The sequence below is a fragment of the Homo sapiens genome, chromosome 8 (assembly GCF_000001405.40).
Source record: "Homo sapiens chromosome 8, GRCh38.p14 Primary Assembly".
NCBI classification, from domain to species: Eukaryota; Metazoa; Chordata; class Mammalia; order Primates; family Hominidae; genus Homo; species Homo sapiens.
Window position 1 is genome coordinate 54,861,535 of NC_000008.11, and position 20,965 is coordinate 54,882,499.

General features: G+C 38.6%; 1 protein-coding gene across 6 annotated transcripts in view, besides 1 other annotated feature; it reads left to right on the top strand.

The window, feature by feature from the left end:
- Positions 1-9,700, top strand: part of RP1 (RP1 axonemal microtubule associated) — a 312,050-nt gene extending 302,350 nt beyond the window's left edge. For all 6 annotated transcript variants that reach the window (XM_047422069.1, XM_047422070.1, XM_047422071.1 and 3 more), the window contains 2 exons: positions 4,301-4,382; positions 8,309-9,700. In XM_047422069.1, coding sequence (XP_047278025.1) covers positions 4,301-4,382; positions 8,309-8,408 — 182 coding nt within the window. In that variant the 3' untranslated portion in view covers positions 8,409-9,700. The remainder of the gene's footprint in view (positions 1-4,300; positions 4,383-8,308) is intronic.
- Positions 13,662-14,244: an enhancer, noted in NCBI's record as "H3K27ac-H3K4me1 hESC enhancer chr8:55787756-55788338 (GRCh37/hg19 assembly coordinates)". NCBI's record gives its function as "activates a minimal SCP1, AML or CMV promoter by ChIP-STARR-seq in naive H9 embryonic stem cells {active_cell/tissue: H9 hESC(naive)}" and the evidence as "EXISTENCE:reporter gene assay evidence [ECO:0000049][PMID:30033119]".

The following is a 20,965-nucleotide window of genomic DNA, read 5'->3' on the forward strand; positions in this document are numbered from 1 at the left end:
TAATGCATAGTTGTGTTGTTTCCAGTTTGACTGTTACAAACAAGCTGAAATAAACATTCTTTTTTTCTTTTCTTTTCTTTTTTTTTGAGATGGAATCTCACTCTGTTGCCCAGGCTGGAGTACAGTGGTGTGATCTTGGCTTACTGCAACCTCCATCTCCTGGGTTCAAGCAATGCTTCTGCCTCAGCCTCCCGAGTGGCTTGGACTACAGGCTCATGCCACCATGCCCAGCTAATTTTTTGTATTTTTAGTAGAGACGGGGTTTTGCCATGTTGGCCAGGCTGGTCTCAAACCTGACTTCAGGTAATCTACCCGCCTTGGCCTCCAAAAGTGCTGGGATTACAGGCATGAGCCACTGGGCACAGCCTGAAAGAAACTTTGTAATGCACAGAAGCAAGAGTTCTTCTAGGAGGGTGGTTCCCAACTGGGGGCAAATTTGCGCCCTAGGGACATTTGACAATGTCTGGAGGCTGTTTTGGTTGTCACAGCTGGTAGGTGTTACTACCAGCACATAGTGGGTAGAAGCCTGAGATACTGCTAAGCATTTTACCACCACAAGAGAGTCACACAACAAAGAATTATCAGGCCCCAAATGTCAGCAGAGCTGAGGCTAAGAAACCTCAGGTTCTAAGGTAAATCCGTAGAAGTCAGTTGCTAGGTAGGTCAAAGGATATGATCATATCTGGGTCTCTAAGATAAACTACTAGTTTCAAAAGTGATTCAACTAAGTTTTTCTCTTACCTACAGTATATAAGAACTTCTATTACGTCATATGCTCGCCAACACCTGGTACACTTAATTTTTGCCTTTACTTTACGTAAGTTGGTATAAAATAGTATTCTCTTTGGCCCTAATTTGCATTACCCTGATTTCTAGGAACAGTGAGCATTCTTTCTTCTTCTCTTTTTTTATCCTTAACTGAATTTCTTTGTCTGTGGAAATACATGTTCTTGTCCATAATATTTAGGGTAAAGGTAAAGGTCCTCTAATAAAAAGTGATTTACAAAAAAGATTTTTTAAAGATAGCAGAGTATTCCACACACAGGTAACAGCCGCAAAGAGAGAGCCATTCCCAGCCAGCCATCAGGGACCAGGTCCTTCCACCTTGCTATTCTTCCATCACCTAAATCTCCTCTCCTCTGTGTGGTCAGAGCTGGTTACAGCACATGAAAGACGGAAAGTCCCCTGCAACACTGTCTTTTGAGCATGGAAGATGGCAGCTGCGCATATGACTTCCGGCCACATTTCATTCCTGAGAAACTAGTCACATAGTTCATCTGTGGCTGCAGAGACATCTGGGAGATGTGGGCCTCTCGCATTGCAGAAATGCCAAGAAAGGGAGAGCAACTAGCAGTGACTGGCACTGTATCTTCTCTAGTTAGTGTTATTTTTAATGGCTGAAATTCTTAATTTTAAAGTAGTTTAAGAGTATAGTATAATTTTTAAATTATCAGCATATTTTGTGTCTTATTTAAGAAAGTCTTCTCTACCCCCAGAGTATTCCAAATGGATATATATATATATATATATATATATATATATATGCAGAATCATGTGCTGCATAACCATGTTTCAGTTAACGTGGACCACATATATGATGGTAGTCCCATAAGATTATCATGGAGTTGAAAAATTCCTATCACCTAGTAACATCACTGCCTTTGCAATATTGCAGTGAAACACATTACCTTTTCTATGTTTAGAAACACATATACTTACCATTGTGTGACAGTTGCCTACAGTATTTAGTACAGTAACACGCTGAACAGGTTATAGCCTAAGAGTATAGGCTGTGCCATATCACCTAGGTGTGTAGTAGACGATACCATCTAGGTTTGTGTAAGTGCTCACAATGTTTGCATGATAATGAAATCACCTAATGACGCCTTTCTCAGAATGTGTCCCTGATGTTAATGACTACAGTTTATACATCCACATACATATATTTTAAGTCTTGCTTTTAAGATTTAAAATTTTACTCCATCTGTAATTGATTTCTATGTATGATACGAGGATGGAATCAACTTTCATTCTTTTCCGTATGGATCATCAATTGTACTACCACTCTGTATTGACTGCTTCGTCTTCACTTGAGAGCTCTACAAAGTCATCTTTATTTTATACAAGAAGTCATTGCTTTGCATGGAATCTATATGCACAAATTTCAGTTGCAATGATTTATTTAACACAAATCCCCAAACAGCATAGTTCAAATTTCAGCTACCATGCTGTAGTAACTGCAATTGCATAAGTACAAACTTTGCTGCCAGCTTTTTAGTCTACAAATCACTATGTGGATAACAGATGCACATTCTCATCAGCAACCAGTCACATCACTTCTTCCAATGTCTGTCTGTTGGTGCTGGGTCATGGTGCATTTCTTATCAGTATATGCCTAGACAGCAAAGTGTATAGTTGTGTTGCTTCCTTGTTTACCAATAATGAATCCATGTGACAGTTCATAACAATATATAATTGAAAGATGAAAGTGTATCAAAGAAATGAAAAGTGGCAATGCTGGAAGTGAAGTTCAAATCTAAAATAAATGGGGTTATAGACATAATTTACCACCATGAAAGTGTTGACACTGCCACCATTTGAGAGACTGTAGATTCGCAGCAAGAGGAAATTAATGAGGGGAATTGATGTCCATGGATGAGGAAGGTGGTGGTGACAAAAAGGACGAAGGTGTCGATAAAAACTTCACTTAAAGGAATTCTGAGATATTTTATGACATTGAAAACACAAAGAAAAAAATATTGTAAGCTGATCCAAATTTAGGAGTTTAATAATTTGCTAAGATGCAAAAGATGCTTCCTCTGTATTATAAATTATATGATGAGAAAAAGAAGGCAAACACCAAACAGAAAAAATAAAACATTTTAATTTTCAGTGTTACTAATGTTTTAAATTATAGTGCATTAAATATTAGTGTTGCTACTTTTTATTTTTTATAGCCATTTTAAATTCACAGTAAAGATTTTTTGATGTTTTGAAAAAATGTTTACAGATCATCAAGCAGTCATAATTTTTCCCTGTTGATTATTAAGATGGCTTGCATAGTTTCAGCTTGCAGTTCTTGTTATGGTTCCACACTAATGTGCAGAGCAGCGCTGCCTGTATCAAGTTTGTGTGAAGGGGAAAGGTTAATTCTGAATTCATTTTCTGTCCCATAGTCAATTTATCTATGCCAGCCCCAATTCCACATTGCCTTGATTGGTATAGATTTACAATAAATGTTGATAAGTGGTAGGGTGATTCCCCTCCCTTACTCAAGATCAGAAGTGCTTGTGATATTCTTGGGCCTTTATCATCCACATGAATTTTATTACCAGCTTCTGGATTTTCATGTAAAACACTTTGGTGAATTTGATTTAATTACATTGAGGTTTTGAATTAGTTTATGAGGAACTGACATCTTTATGATATCTTCCTACTTACCAATATGAGATAGTTCTACATTTATTTATGGCTTTTTTTGCTGTCATTTCCTACATTTAGATGATTTTTCTATAAATTATACTACATCTGATTTTAAATTTACTCCCAAATTCTTAAATTTTTATAGCAATTCAACATTGTAACTTTTATTAAATTATGCTTTTTAACCTTTTCTCTCTGGTTAATAGAAATACACTGGATTTTTATGTATTAATTATATTTCTAACAATTTTTCTCATCACTCTTAATTCTATATTCTGTGATTTCTTTGGGTTTTTAAGTTAAGTCATATCTTCTGTGAATAATGACAGTTCTGTCTCTTTTTTCTATACTTATCAGTTTTCCTTTTCCTTTCTTCTTTCCCTCCTCTCCTTCCTCCCTTCTTCCCTCCTTCTCTCTCTCCCTTCTTTCCTTACTTTCATTTTTTCTTTCTTTAATTGTATTGACAAGTACAGTAATCAATAACTTCTAAATTTTCACTATTAAGAATGATGATTGATTGTGACTTTCCATTACTATTTAAACTTATAAATCTTCTATGACTTAACATAACTGAAATGCATTTATGTGAATTTACTTCTCTCTTTATTCTTGGCTCATGTGTTTTTAAATAATTTTTTTTTAATTTTATAGAGAGTTTGGGTCCCTATCTTCTCTTGTCCTCTGCTTCTAGTACTCTGAGTAATTAGGTTGCTCACTCACATTTTCATTTCTCTACGGGCATAATTTGCATGTGCATATTTTTGTACCTTGACATGTGTACTTAAAAAGGAACATTTGGAGGACCTATGAATAAAATCACAATGCTGGTATTTTTAAGCTAAAGAGTTAAATAAATCTCCTTTGTCAACTGACACAGGTAATGGATGGTTTCTTGGGAGTATTGTTGTTAAGTCTGAAGATGAAGACAGCAGTGAAGAGGTGCTGTTTCTATGCAACAGGTATGCTCTTAATGCATTATTATGCAAAATTATGCTCTCTTTGTCCAATTTATTCCACCTGTGTCCTCCAGCATGCCTCATCCCAGCTGTTGGACAACATCATTCCCTCCCTGAAAACCAGAGCTGAAGGCCTTCTCTCCTCAAGAAGCTGTCCTTTATCAGCACTAGTAATTCTCTCTTCTTTTGTAATCTCTAACATTTTTCTCTTCTGAAAAAAGTATGGTGAAATGGAAAGAAATTGGATTAGGACTTAGAAAACAGGTTCTTCTTTCTGTTTCTAAAACACATGCTAAGCTCCCTGCTAGTACTGTGAACTTGGGTACCACTCTTAACTTCTCTGAGGTTCAATGTCCTCATATGGAAGATGGCAATAATACCTGCTTCCCCTAGTTCATTTGAATCATTTAAACTCAAATGATGTTATATATGTGAACTGTGAACTCTAATGCATTGTACTAAAGTGGCGTAGATGTAATATAACAGGAGACTTAAGTGGCAAGGGTAACTGTAATTCCTTGGCCGGGTGGTCATAGGTGAATCTCTTAAACTTCTGATTCTCAGTTTCAAAGTTTTATGAGAATGATTAAATCTTCTCTACCTACTTTATAGAGTTATAATAAGTAGAATATCAAATGCACCTTAAAACAAAATGCACTAAACATAGAAATTATGTAGTTAAGTTCCCTCCATTATTAACCAATCTACAGAATATGTTGATCCATTTGATCAGTCATTATGCAAGTAGTAATTGACCACCCACCATATCAAGAAGTGGGATAGATAATGGAGATCCATCAATAAGGCAATCCAGTTTCTGTCGGCAAGGACCTATGGTCCCCACATGGGAACATGGGAAATGTTAACGACATGAGGGCAATGAGAGAGGCTTATATATGCTGTGAAGACCTGGGTGTCAAGGTGCTATGTCTATGTGATTGCATGTTCCTTGAATCTAGAGAACTCATGCATTGTATATATTAATTTATCCATCCATTTAATATGTTAATTTATCCATCCATTTATTTATGAAAAAATATTGCCTGCCTGCTAGGTGTTAGGTACTATACCAAATCCTAGAGATTTAGAGATAAAAAAGTAGAGTTCTTGTCTTCAAAGAACTTCCAATTGATGCTCAATAAGGGAGGAGAGATGTAACGCTACATGAAGCTGGAGAGCTGAGTGTGCTCTGAATTTAGTAGGTGGCTCAGCATCACTATTCCCTAAAGTGAGGGACACTCTTCAGATATGCAGAGATGCACATTGGTTGACTGACTGGATTTTACCTTACTATAGTTTCGATTCTAGGAAATAGTCATTCCTTTGAAACTTAATAAGGAGTTGAATTTTGTATGAACAAAATGTGTAGCACTTCTCTGATCATCTGTTTGTTTCTTTTCTCAATGCACTTCCATTTAAAGTGCATGTAGTAGTAGCTATTGCCATTTTATGAAATTCAAGCTCTAGGAAGAGACCTTGTATTTTTATTTTTGAAAGAAATCTTAGTGAATAGGGAATAGAAGGGGCAAAGATTGAAGTTTTTTAGCACCAGATTTGGATTATAATGGCATTACTTACTAGCTCTGGGAGCCTCAGTTTATTCTTATGTAAAATGGCAGTAATGACACCTATTTTGCAGGGTTGTTTGAGGATTTCAGACAATGTATATAAAGTACCTACAAAAGTGTCCTGCAATTATTAGAGGCTCCATGATGGTAAATGTTATTGTCACAGAAACAATTTTAAAGAAATTTTTAGACATGATACTACACATGCAAATGAAGGGAGAAAACACACCTTTGTTTCTAGATCATGTGTCTAGTATTTAGAACTCTCAAATAATTGACTAAGTTTTACTTTTTAAATATTGTATCTGCACAGTCCAATATGGTAGCCACTAGTCACATATGGCTAATTAAATTTAAATTAATAAAATCAAATCAAATAAAAATTCAGTTGCTTGGTTGTACTAGCTACATTTCTAGTGCTGAATAGACACAGATGGTTAGTGACTACCATATTGGCCAGTATATATACAACATTTGGTTTTATATCACATCTAGATATTTGGTATCATATGAAGCTGTGTTTAATATTTTACAGTGTAGTTTATTGCTCTGAATGTGATGGTACCAATGAAATAATGTAAGTAGTAAATATAAGATTATTATTTTTCTAGAAGTGCCACATTTAGCAAAGTCAAAAGGCATCCAGGGCAGGTGATAATGGTCACATTCTCTTCCAAGCCAAAATTAATTTTACTGGCAATGCAGAGGAGTAGAAATCATGAAAGTGACTTATTTCTACATTTTAGAATAATCACAAACCCTAGAAATTGGACTTACAGAAACAAAATGACGCAGATGAAAATATTTAAGATGGTTTATTGTATCATACTATCATATGGAATGATATGCACACTGGTGTATCATTGCACTGTTATCATTAACTATAGCAATATAAACTGTTTTCCTTGCCTTTTCTCTCTGAGGACCCAGGGTTAAATAAGTATTAAAAAATTATCTTGCTATTCCATCAGAAGTGGAAGAAACCATAGATAACATTTAGTTTCATGGTTTGTTTGACAGATGGGCAAACTGTGACCTAATGAGATTAATGGCATGCACACCTCAGACCCATTAGTCAGAAAGCAGGGGCTCTTGGTTCCTTGGCCCTCTGGAAAGTTTTAATTTAGTGTCTATCAATCTGTTGTTTCTATGATATAACTATGATTTTGTGAATTATCTTCTACTGAAGAATTCCCTGCACAAGATATCAAGTTTACTATAAAATTGTTTTGTCAGAAAGTTCTACTTTCTGGAGTGTTTGGAGCATTTAGATGACATAAGCTTTACTGTCTTCCGCAGTATAGATTATCAAGTACTTAAATGCAAGTCCCCTTCTAATTATGGGAAAAGAAAAGGTCTCCGAGAAGGAGGTTATTTATAACTTTATTTGTGGAGTTTCAAAATAACCAAGATATAGAGGGGTTACATTTTGTGTTGTGGGAGCCTCTAAGATTTCTGCACCCATCTGTTGTATTGCTGTAGAGAAAAATCAGAAGAATATCCATCACTAGCATTTACTGAATGCTTTCCAAGGAATAGGCTTCATGGTAAAGCCAGAACTGCACACAGATACTCATTTGATCCCCACAGCCAGCCTACAGGTAGACTCTGTGATATTTATATTTCAAAGACAAGGAAATTGTCTTTGAAATATAAAGATAGTAAATTTTTTGCCTGAATATATTAATAATTGGTGGAGTCAGGATTCAGATCAAAATATATTTGACTCTAGAACTGTACTGTCTCACATGGGAGCCACAAGCCACATATGTCTACTGAACTGTGGCTCTTCCAATGTAGGTATAAGATACATTCCAGATTTCAAGAGTGGAGAATAAAAAAGAATGTGATACAATTTTTATACTGATTACATGTTGAAATAATAATCTTTTGAATTTATGAAAATTCAAAATATTAATTTTACCTTCTTTTTACTTCTTTCCATATATGGTTTGTATTCTAGTTCTCTTGAAGAGTGCTGTCCTAGAGTCTGAGGGTTTAGCCACTGTGTATACCTGCCAGTCACATGACAGGAGAAAATAACAGCTACCACTAAGGAAACTCCAAGTGAGAAATTTTGACTATGTTAGAATATTTGTAATGTTACCAGAGGACTTTTCTAAAAGCCAAAATTTTAGAGTGAACCAATATGACTTTGCAATTTGAGTGTAGGAAAAAACTTGCCGAAGCTGGACTGCTAAATAATCTGGTGTGGCTTAAAATCTTAAATCCTTTTTTAAAATTCTGATCTCTCTAAAGGCCTCTTTAAATTCTTTCCATATGTTTTTTTTTCCTTTCTAACTAATGAGCCTCCTTTCAATGCTCTCTCATATTAATTATCTTCTTTTTTTTGCATGGCAGATGGCTAGATGAGTACCAAGATGATGGCAAGACCCAGCGGGAATTGCTCGCAGAAAGTAGTCCCAGTGCAGTAGGAGAGACTGGGTCTACCATCTCCTGAAAGGGCCCACTTGGGCCTGTCGCTCCAATATGCTTCAAAAGGCTATTGATCTGATTGTGATAGTGCATTTGTCTTTTGCTTGGGCTGGAGCAAACACCTGGGGAGGGTCAGTTTGTGTTGGACCCACTCATTGTTTCTGAGAACTTCCAAAATTGGGAGGATGCACTGACAGCCTCCGCCAACAGCTGACCAAGATCAGCCCCTGGTATCTGGGGTACCCATACTGCTGCTGCTCACCTCCTCCCCCTCCTCTTCCTTCACCTTTTCTTTCCCTTCCTCCCCACTCTTCCCCTCCCTCCTCTCCCTTCTTTCTTTTCCTTTTTCTTTCAGAAAATCTGACTTACTGCTAAGGTTACTGAAATGTCTAAATAAGTATTCTTTGTAGAAAATAACTGAAGAGGTACCTAATAACATTTGATGCATGAAAAACACTTTTATGCAACCTATGTTAATTTTAAAGTGGAAGTTTTATTGTTAGACAATGGTATGTCTCTCTCAGAATTAGTGGTAAAATCAATAAGAAAATGTAGAAAGAACCCAACCAATTGGGTTACTGTGTGTTCCCAGTGCACGTCCTGTGGGTCCACTTGCAGTTTGAGCTTCGAGCTGGTGACAGAGTCCTGCAGGCAGAGAGCAGCAGAGCGCAGGGCAGATATCTCACATCCATCGGTCACTTTTTCTCATGAAGCCTCAAATACTTGTCAACTTGGTGCCACAGGTGCCTTCTTCTAATCCGTTAATTTGGCACATAAGCTAAAACTCATTTGCCAGCCCCGGAGAGGTCAGGATGTAGCTTTTGATATCAAAGACACCTGTCTTTGAATCTCTATTTTGCCCCGTGAGGTAGATGCTATCATCACCCACATTTTGCAGATGAGGAAACCGACACATGGAAAAGCCAAGTGACCTGCCCAAGCTTAGAGAGTGGAACAAGCAGGAGAGCCGGGATGTGACCCTAGAAGTCTGACTTCAGAGCCCGTGCGCGTCCACACTGTGACCTTGGCCCTCCTGCCTTCCCTGCTTGTTTTTAGTATCCCATGAAATCAGGCAGAGGGGCCAAGGAGGCAAATCTTGCATACCACCTTCATGATTTTTGTCGTCTGCAATAGTACCTGTACTAGTATATGCTTGATATTTTCTTCCTTGAACTGTGTCTAAATCAGTGTATTTAGAGGTGAAGAGAGCTTGGCCTCATCCTAAATCATATTCCAAATATCCATGAAATCACTGATTTAATATGTCATTACATTTTTTCCTAAAACACATTAAAATAAATCTATGTCTAACAAAAATTTTAGGTTAGTCTATATACTACCTAAAATTATTTTATAAATATCTAGTAGTCGGCACATTTCACCATTACGGTGTGTGTGTATATGTGTGTGTGTGTGTGTGCATGTGTGTATGTGTGTGTAGAACTTAACTCTGGCCTGGCAGATCATTATTAGTAAATAATGTTCAGTAAGTAGATGCTGTTGTTATAATGGTTTCCCTTTTACTAACCCATGACCAAGAACTAATCCATTCCTTAGAAATGGTATATTTTTACATCTGAGGATGAAAATACATCAAGAATACGGCTTCAGTGATTTGAAGTTAAAAACAGCCTTTTTTTTTTCTAAAGTGTCCAGCAGACCATATTACAGGTAAGAAAAATAAGTACAATAGTTCTCCCTTATTGGTGGTTTTGCTTTCTGAGGTTTCAGTTACCAGAAGTCAACCACAGTCTGAAAATATTAAATGGAAAATGTCAGAAATAAACAATTCATTCATTTTCAGTTGCATGCCATTCTAATCAGTGTGATGTAATCTCATGCCATCCTGCCCTGTCCCATCCAGGATGTGAATATTCTCTTTGTCCCGAGTATCCATGAATCACTTAGTCCTAGTATTGCAGCACTTGTGTTTGTCACCCTTATTTTACCTAATAATGACCCCAAAGTGCAAGAGTAGTGACTCTAGCAATTCGGATATGCCAAAGAGAAGCTGAAAAGTGCTTCCTTTAAGTGAAAAGGTGAAAGTCCTTGTCTTAATAAGGAAAGAAAATAAGTTGAATGCTAAGTTTGCTAAGACTTATAGTAAGAACAAATATCTGTTAAATTGTAAAGACAGAAAAAGAAATTTGTGCATAATATAAATAGGGTACAATACTATCCATGGTTTCAGATATCCACCAGGGGTTTTGGAACATATCCCCCAAGGATAAGGGGGACCACTCCAGGCTGCACAGAAGCTTGGAGAATCACTTCTTGCCCTTGATGACATTTATTTCATGGTGCCCTGCCCAAAGCGGATACTGAACAAACACACTCATTTACTAAGCAGAAGCTTGTGAAGCATCTCCCAGACACTGGGAATAAACTGGCAAACAGCATAGTCATTTTCCCTGCCCTCTGAGGGGCCAGTGTTCTAGCAGGGACCTGAGTGAATAATGTGCGTTCTGCAAACAGAGCCGAGGCGCCCTCCAAACTCTCAGGCCCTGCGGAGGGAGAGAGATCTTGTGCTCAGCTTTGTATATTCAGTTCTTGGCATACCAGGTGCTCTCTGCTAACTTGCAGGCCCTATGGAAGGAGAGAGATCTTGTGCTCAGCTTTGTATATTCAGTCCTTGGCATACTGCCTGCTTATAGTCAGTGCTCTGTGTCTATTAAATACATGAATCATTCTTGCCTTACCACACAATACACCTTATTAGAGATTGAAATATTAAATGATTCCCAATTCAGTTTATATTTGTGCAGAATAAGTATTCACAGATAATTACACTCAGTGCCTCTATTTTTACAAACTTTGATGCAACAATACAGTTTTATTCCAAACGTAATCCTGCCCCTTTCTCCCCACCCTGCCACAGTTCAGATTGGAGTTGTCTATTTCCTAATTCTATCCAACAGAACATTTACAATTCTTCTCTTGAGGGGGGAGGTGATGTAAATACCAATTGGATCCATTTTATGTGGATTCTTGTTTATTTTATCCTTATAGTGCTCATTTCTTAGACATTGTCCACATTCTGGGACTGTCTCAGTCCAAACTCCTTACATAATAGCTATTCCTTGAAAACTGGAAAACTAACAGTGAAGCTATATTTATTTCTAGGTTTTCAGAGACAGCAAAAAATTATTGACAGTGCATAGCACAAAGGCAGCAAATAGATTCTTAAAGGTTGGGTGAAAAGAGGCATTTTGGTCATGTCGTTTGTTTTTTCTTGTGGAGTGAATGATGTAAAACCCTCATCCATAAACCTGACATGCATATCCTTTAAAAATGCTGGTGAGTGGTAGACAAGTGCAAAAACAAAGACCAGAAAACAAAATGTGGCCCATTTCATGGAGCACGACAATTGCCTAGCACAACTCCTGTGTCTTCATGGGTTTGCTTGTATCTGGGTTAAAAGCAAGATGGAGCAAAGAACACTTTTATCTGATGGATGCATCCTCTATTTTAACCAGCAAGTTATCATGATGGTGCAATGATGATATGGATGGCCTTCAGGTGCTAAAGTGTTTTCATATAAACTTCGCAAGCAGATTTAAGTTATGTGTTTGTTATAGCAAAGGATGATGTAGCTTCTTTGTGGCTGTGGGTAAAATAATGTCTTGGACAGCTAAGCTAATTGTTCTTTAATAAGGAGAGAGGCTCTCCAGAAAGCCCACCAGAGTTAGGTTTATCCTGCAAGTCATCGGGGCTGATAATACTTTTGAACAGTTATATTTTAAGTTATTTTTAGAAGCGAAGAAACAAACACTGCAAAGTAGGCCCTCCTCCACATCCAGGTAAGCTAATGTTTTCTAAATGGAGGTTCCTTTTCATTCTTTCAGGCAGTGGGATAGAGTATACTAGAAAAAGATCCCTGGGTTCTGAAATTAATCTTGATTCTCTACCACAAAGGGTGTGAAGCCCTAAGAATGTAGCATCAACTTCCTTGGGCCTCTGTTTCCAGGCCTCTATGAGGATGACTAAAGAGTACCAATTAAACTGATTACTAAGCTTATAAATATATCAATTACTTGATTATAGGGGCAACATTAATATTTGCAAGCTTATTCACATCAGTTGATTGAAACTTTACAAACACACCATTCCCTAGGCCTTTGCCCATGTTGGTTTCTTTGCTTGGAAGGGCCTTCCCTTCTTGCCTGGAAAATTCCTATTCATTTTCTAAGACCATGCTTGATGTTCTTTGAATCAGTCAAAACTAAGGCTCCCCCATCCTCTGTGTTTCCATATTACCCTGTCCTTCTCCTCTTACTATAATTAGCATTTTACATAGTGGTCATGTATCTCAGTTCACAAACTCAGAAGTGTGACAAATATTACTTCTTTTGTTTTCTGTATGTCAGCTTAATGTTCAGCTCCTAATCTCTGTCACACAGATTCGTAGAAAATTCCTGTTCTTTTCTTTTTTTTTTTTTTTTTGAGACCGAGTTTCGGTTTCGCTCTTGTTGCCCAGGCTGCCTGGAGTGCAGTGGCGCGATCTCGGCTCAACTGCAACCTCAGCCTCCGGGATTCAAGCGATTCTCCTGCCTAGCCTCTCAAGTAGCTGGGATTACAGGCGTGCACCTCATTTTCAAGCATAATTGAGGCACATTCTCCTTTCTAAGGGGCAAGAGAATCCTAGAAGCTTATACTCTGTTTAGAGAGAAAAATGCTTTTCTTCCAAGTCTATCATTGTCCCTGCCACAGTCTGTTTTCTCTCTGGACCACTCACACAGTACTAGACTTTTTGTCATGACTGAGAACCCAAGTGCCTCAGGACACTCCTTTCTAGGCTGCTCTGCAGCCCTCCCCTAAGAGGAAGGGTGCATCTTCTCCAGGTCTCTCCTTACTCAAGACAAGATATCTCACGGGGATCCCGCAGCTGTGGGGCTCACAGACCTCTTTTTTTCTGGCCGATAAAAATCTCTTTTCTTTTCCCTGTTGCTTCTCAAAAGCCCTCTCCGTTTTTCCTCCTGTATCAGTACAACTAATACAAGTTATTGGTTTTTTTTAAAGTGTTTAGATTTTTATAGAAGACTGGACGTTGTTTCTAGTATGAACATGATGAGGGCAGACAAAAGAACTTTCCCCTTCTGTTGTTATTCAAATTAATAAAGAGAATGGAAAACCTATTGAGAGGTGACAATGTGCTAGCAGCCCTCCCTCGCTCTCAGCGTCTCCTAGGCCTCGGGGTCCGCTCTGGCCGCTCTGGAGGAGCTCTCCAGCCAGCCGCTGCCCTGTGGGGTCCCCCTCTCTGGGGCTGGCCGAGGCCGGAGCCGGCTCCCTCTGCTCGCTGGGAGGTGTGGAGGGAGAGGCGCCGGCGGGAGCCCGCCGGGCGCTCGCAGGCGGTGGCGGTTCCGGGTGGGCGCGGGCTGGGCAGGCCCGCACTCCATGGCCTGCAAGGGCCTGCTGGGCTGGATTAGGAGATGAGCTCCCTCTGGGCTGCAGGCATGCCCAGGCTAGGTGCCGCAAAGTCCCGCCCACCAGTTGGGCTTCTGGGTCGGATGGGGACCTGGAGAACTTTTCTGTCTAGCTAAAGGTTTGTGAAGGCACCAATGAGCACTCTGTGTCTAGCTGAAGGTTTGTAAATGCCCCAATTAGTGCTCTGTGTCTTGCTAATTGGGTAGGGGACTTGGAGAACTTTTGTGTCTAGCTAAAGGATTGTAAACGCACCAATCAGCACTCTGTGTCTTCCTAAATGCTTGTAAATGCACCAATCAGAATTCTGTCAAAACGGACCAATCAGCTCTCTGTAAAACGGACCAATCAGCTCTCTGTAAAATGGACCCATCAGCAGGATGTGGGTGGGGCCAGATAAGGGAATAAAAGCAGGCCACCTGAGCCAGCATGGCAACCCGTTGGGGTCCCCTTACATGCTGTGGAAGGTTTATTCTTTTGCTCTTTGCAATCAATCTTGCTGCTGTTCACTCTTTGTGTCTGCGCTGCCTTTATGAGCTGTAACACCATGAAGGTCTGCAGCTTCACTCCTGAAGTCAGTGAGACCACAAACACACCAGAAGTTAGAAACTCCGGGCACACCATCTTTAAGAACTGTAACACTCACTGCAAGGGTCCATGGCTTTATTCTTTAAGTCAGTGAGACCAAGAACCTACCAATTCTGGACACACTATGGTCTCCAATTTCAGTGAAAGCAGGACTTAGTGAACACCTGCAAACTCCCGGGTACACAGTGTGTGGCCTGCAAAAGCCACTGACACAGACAAAAGCTAAAGGGCCAAGCAGTGGCAAATCTCAGAAAGTGCCAGCAGAAGTCCACTTCCCAAGGTAGTGCGGCCTATCGGGAGGTACAAAAGCTATATTTTAATTGATAACAGCTGGAAAAGATGTGTGCCTGGAGCCTGATGGAGAGGAGGGTTGAGATTAGGCGGAAACTGTGTAGAGGAAGGTGGAGTAGGGAATGTGTCTTTGAGGTCGTTAATCGTTAAAGAGTTCCCACAAATAATTTGCCAAGGAAAAGGAACAGTACACAGTAAAAACAAAGCTAAGCCTTAAATAAAAACAAAAAAACAGTAATAAGTATCTGCAGAAATAACACATATCTGACACAGCCTTTGGATATTGGAAATGTCAATATAGATGATAAAAACATCTGTAGCACTACTTCAACAGGTTAAAAAATATCTTCTGCTGTAAAAAACTATGAAATTAATCTAGCATATTGAAAAGAAAAACAACCAAACGGGACTTATGGAAATTAAAAAATAGAATACTTAAAATTTAAATCTAGGTTTATGTGTTTAACGCAAATTAGGCTCAGTTGAAAAGAAAATTTGTTCACTGGAATATAAACTAGAAGGAATTTTCTAGAATGTAGCAGAGAAAGATAAATAAATGATATGTATGATGGAGAAGTTTCCAGAAGTGTTGAAATATATCATTTCACAGATTCTTCAATTTCCAGGTGATCAATACATTTCAAACTGGATTCAATTAAAAATATCCACATCCAGAGCCAATGTAGTAAAATTGTTGAGTATCAAAAACGTACAGAATATTTAACAAACAGCCTGAGAGAAAAGCTAGTTACCTTCAAAGAAGCAGAATGTACAAGATCAACAAAGAAAACCAGGGAATGGAGTAATACCTTCAGGGTACTGAAAAATTATGAAAATAACCTAAAATTTTCTAGCCAAGGAAAATATATTTCCAGAATGAGACCCAAAATGAAGATATTTTCTTTTTCTTTCTTTCTTTTTTTTTTTTGAGACGGAGTTTCGCTCTTGTTGCCCAGGCTGGAGTGCAATGGCGCGATCTCGGTTCACCAAAACCTCTGCCTCCCGAGTTCAAGCGATTCTCCTGCCTCAGCCTTCCTGAGTAGCTGGGATTACAGGCATGCACCACCATGCCCAGCTAATTTTGTATGTTTAGTAGAGACAGGGTTTCTCCATGTTGGTCAGGCTGGTCTCGAACCCCCGACCTCAGGTGATCCACCTGCCTCAGCCTCCCAAAGTGCTGGGATTACTGAGCCACCGCGCCTGGCCTAAATGAAGATACTTTCAAGCATAGACACAAAAATTTTTAATAGCAAACTGATAGAGTTTGCTATTAGTCCCTCACTAAAGGACATTCTAAAGCATGTACTTCGGGCGGGAAGAAAGTGACTCTGGATGGAAAGGCTGAGATGCAAGAAGGAATGATGATCATGGGAAGTGGAAAATATGTAGACACGTCTAAGATAACATTGGCTGCATTGAAATATTGTTAAAAATAACATGAGATAAAGTTGAAACAGGAAACAACAAATAACACATAAGTCTGTGAGTTGGGTGAGGGTAAGTGAAGCACTGTATTCTAAAGCCCCTGGATGATCTAAAAGGAGGATGGAGGTATTTGATTTAGTATGCTTGTTTGAATTTCTAGGGTAACCACTGAAAGAATAAGAACAGAATAAAATTTTCAAACAAGTGTAAGTGTGGTGAAAAGGTTTAATCCATCGGGAAGATATTACATAATTTTAAATTAATGTTACTAGTAATATAGGCTCAAATGACATAATGCAAAAATAAGCATACATACAAGTAAAAATAGATACATCCTGTTTTACATACATAATAGTATAAGAAGATTTTAAATATGTACTTCTCTTGGTAATTGGGAAAATAAGGAAGAAAAAAAGTATTAAAAATATAGAAGATTTAAATGACATGATTAACAAAGGCCATAATAGGGATGTGTAAAACTCTGCATCTGACAAATGCCAATGCACATTCCTTTCAGATATATAAGTAACATCATAAAAATTGGGTATGTGTTGGCCCATAAAACAGTCATAAAATTGAATGAAATACAGATACATCAATAACATGGATAGATTTCATAATAAATCATAATTGTATAATGTTGAATAAAATAAGCCAGTAACACAAATATATGAGTGTATTTACGTTTATATAAAAGTCAAAAGGAGGCAAAAATTTCACAGATGATATTTTCTTACACATATATTATATATTAAACTATTTTTAAAGGCCCAACAGTTATTACCAAAAAGGTAAAGAAGATGGTGGTGCCTGCGAGAGAAGGCTGTGGCCCATGGCGGGCCTTCCAGGCAATTGACAGTGTTCCTTATTTGACCTTTTTTTTGATGGCTACATGAGTGTTGATTTTATAATTATTCTTTATGCTTTCATAGGTGTTTTTGTGGTGAAATATACGTAACATAGAAGTTAGCATTGTAGCCATTTTTAGGTGTACAATTTAGTGGCATTAAGTCCATTCACAGTGTTGTGTAACCATCACCACCATCCATCTCCAGAATCTTATCATCATCCCAAACAAATGCTTTGTGGCTATTGAACAATGTCTACCCACTCCCCTGTTTCCTGTAGCCCCTGGTAACCTCTGATCTACTTTCTGTTTTATTAATTTGCCTAATTCTGGACATTTCATATAAATGGAATCATGCAGTATTTGTTCTTTTGCATGTGACTTTTTTCATTAAGCATAATGTCTTCAAGGTTCATCCATGTTGTAGCATGGTTGAGAATTTCCTTCCTTTCTAAGGCTGAATAACATTCCATTGTATGGATAGACCACATTTGGTTTATCATCATATATGTTTTATGTAAATTTCTGTCTTAATATTATATCTAATAAACAGAAAAACAATATAGAAAGACATACAAGAAAAAAATTTTAAAATAGGTTATCTGTGGTAGAGGAGGGATGGGAATAGGGAGAATGAAAGACAAGAATAGAAATAAATCTTTTTGTGCCATTTGATGGTTTTGAATCACTCAGTTTATCACCTATATAAAAAATTAACAATAAATAGTTGATGGGTTAAAAAAATAGAATAAATAAGACCTAGTATTTGGTAGCTTATTTATTTATAGGGTGACTATAGTCAATAATAATTTAATTGTACATTTAAAAATAACTAAAAGAGTATAATTGAATTGTTTGTAACACAAAGGATAAATGCTTGAGGGGATGGATACCCCGTTTTCTGTGATGTGATTGTAATGCACTGCATGCCTGTATCAAAGCATCTCAAGTATCCCATAGACATATATGCCTACTGTGTATTCACAAACATTAAAAATTAAAAAAAGAATGGTTCAATGAATAAATGATTGAAAATGAATGGGGAGTATCTTAACTACCAACGCACATATGGGACAGATGTTCAGGGAGCCTCAACCTTCCTCTTTACCAAAATTATCAGGATAGAGAGTGACCTAGCCTGATCTCCTGCCTGAAAGGAGGAGATGGAGGAGGAACAAATGAAAGAAGTCAGGAATTAACAGCTCAAAACTGTTCCCGTTATATTAGTCTATTTTTCTCTTGAGAGCAGGACTTTTTATCTTATTCATCTTTGTTTTCTGGAACACAATGCTTGGGTCAGTACAGACACAAAAAAGTTGTGTTTTGCTACTGGAAATTAAAATTTAGGAGTAATGAAGATTAATAGGAAAGCTGAGAAAATTGAAATATTTTGGGAAATTCATCTTGCTTGCTTTTTTTCCTCCCAGCAGTTTTGGTGATTCTGTGTTAGTCCAGTGAGATACTCTTAGAAAAAAGATCTGTGAAGTCTCTTGTTTAGCCCCGTGTCACTGTCAGTTAATAGAAAGGGACAGGCTTCTCAGAAAGACTTAGGAAGTTAGAAATGTATGGTGAAATGACAGTCCCAGCAGTGGTGGCTGGAGCACACCAAAAGTGCTCACCACTGTCCTCTGAGGGCTCTGACCCTGGGCATTTGGCTGGCAAAGCTCAACGCGGTGTTTCATCAGGGGCAACTAGCTCACATGGACCCCATGAAAATGCATTCTGACTCCCAGAAATTAAGCACCTATTAGGAATATTACACTGATTACCCTATAGAGAAAGGAAGACTCAGGGTGGGCTTATAAAGTGTCCATTTTTGTAAGCTTTCTGGCTAAGGTATGTTGCTACCAGTCTCCCCATTGTCATTACTTGTGTAACTTATTTTACTGCTAATCTCCTGTTAGAATTAATGATTACTGGCTCCTTTAATTTTAACAATAAAATTGGCGATTGTTGGAGAGAGGTCAAATTTAAGCATCACACAATCATTTCAATAGATTCCCTAACACTTAAAAATCCACTCCCCAACCCTGCTTTTTTATTTCAGTGATATAGCTGGAGGATGATGTGTCAAATTGAATTCCACGGGCCCTTTATTAGCGTTTACTGCATTTTGCCTGCCCAGCACCCATTCCCCACTCTTAAGAACCCCCCACTTTCCTTTTTAAAAACCAGCTCCTCCTAATGCAAGGGACTGTATTCTTCTTGTCTTGTCCTTTTGGCTGAGGGCAAGGCTTGTGACCCAAGCAAAGCTAATACTTGGACTTTAAATCTTCAATGGCAAGAGACTAAAAAATAGTATTCTTGCCTCACACAACAAAGGGTCCCCTCTTCCCCACAACCAGAGTGTTTGTTGTTGAGGTGTCTGCCCTTGGGCCAAGTGAGCCGTCTGGGTCCCTCCCACCCTGCCACACTGGCTCCACACCCACAAGCTAGTCCTGTCAACTGCCTTCCTACAGTTACTCAAGATTTTCAGGTTGGGTGCAGTGGCTCACACCTGTAATCCCAGCACTTTGGGAGGCCACGGTGGGTGGATCATTTGAGGTTGGGAGTTCGAGACTAGCCTGGCCAACATGGTGAAACCCTGTTTCTACAAAAAATATAAAAAATTGGCCGGGTGTGGTGGCGTGCACCTGTAATCCCAGCTACTCAGGAGGCAGAGGTGGGAGAATTGCTTGAACCCAGGAGGTGGAGGCTGCAGTGAGCCAAGATCTCACCACTGTAATCCAGCCTGGGTGACAGAGCGAGCTTCTGTCTTAAAAAAAAAAAAAAAGAAAGAAAGAAAAAGAAAGAAAAAAAATGCAGCATTAGTTACTCTTTCCTGCAATTAATTAAAGGATTCCAACTAATTCAAACACTTTGCTCAGCCTGCTTGGGTCCTACTTCCTTTTTCCTCCACCCTGCAGTGTTTTCTGCACGCCATCCCTCTCTTACAGACCTCAATCACTGACCCCCTCCCATCTCCTCTCATCTGCTTCCTTTAACTCCAGCCTTGAGTGTGTGTGCTGGCATGGGCATTGTTTTAGGATGGAAGTCCTTAAACAACAGGGTAATGGGCTTTTGCTTGTTATGTTTTATTACTTTTTTATTACTTTGAAGATTATGTGGAAATAAACAAAAGCTATCCAAATGAGAAAAGCAAATGCTATCTTTTCTGACCTTGCTGTAGCAAGGGAGTCAGCTACCATCGCTTGTGTTTTGGCAGAGACTCACAGGCTGGCAGACGGGTGGAAAGGTGGAGAAGAGGGAAGGCTCCAGGTGTGCCTTGATGAGGCTGTTGGCCTGGGGAAGCTGGAGGCGGCTAACTAGCTGGGGCATCCTATGTAACTGGTTAGGAGTACATATTTGGCTTTTTCTGGTTAATCTTTAGGTGCAAATGGGAGCAAAAAACAGAATCTGATCATGTTGATCTCATCTTGACTGCTGGGGGCCGTTGCTACTGAAGTTGTGTTTTGGCTTCCTGGGTTGGTTGCTGCAGAGTTTGGGGGTCAGAACTCTATTGTCATGTACAGTCTGCTTATTGTCTCTTTGTTTAATTCAGTCTCTCAATTAGCACTTGAGTTTTGTGGTTTAGGTTACTTATATTTAAGACTCTTTCTCTATACTTTTGTTCCCCAACCTCTTATTTTCATTTCCAGTGCAAAGGAAAGGAAATGATAAGAAATAAAATTCTTTGCCCAAAGACACCCGTTAAAACTGAGACTTCTAGTTTCTAATCGCCTGGCATTTTTGTTTTGTTTTACTAAATGGAGATTAACTTTTAGTTGCTCTATGTAGTCTCTAAATGCAGGTGATCAGGACCTGATATGAAAAGGTTTTAAAATTCCTTCTGAAACACGTCATCGACTTCTGAATACATTTACAAATGAGTCTGCAAAAATGACTAAGTTTTCTTTCCTATATGACTCTGATCAAGATATTATTTCCAAATGTGCTTATACATAAGAATGACCTGGAAAAGTTATTTAAGATGCAGACCTCCATTCCTCTTGTAGACTTAATGCACAAGA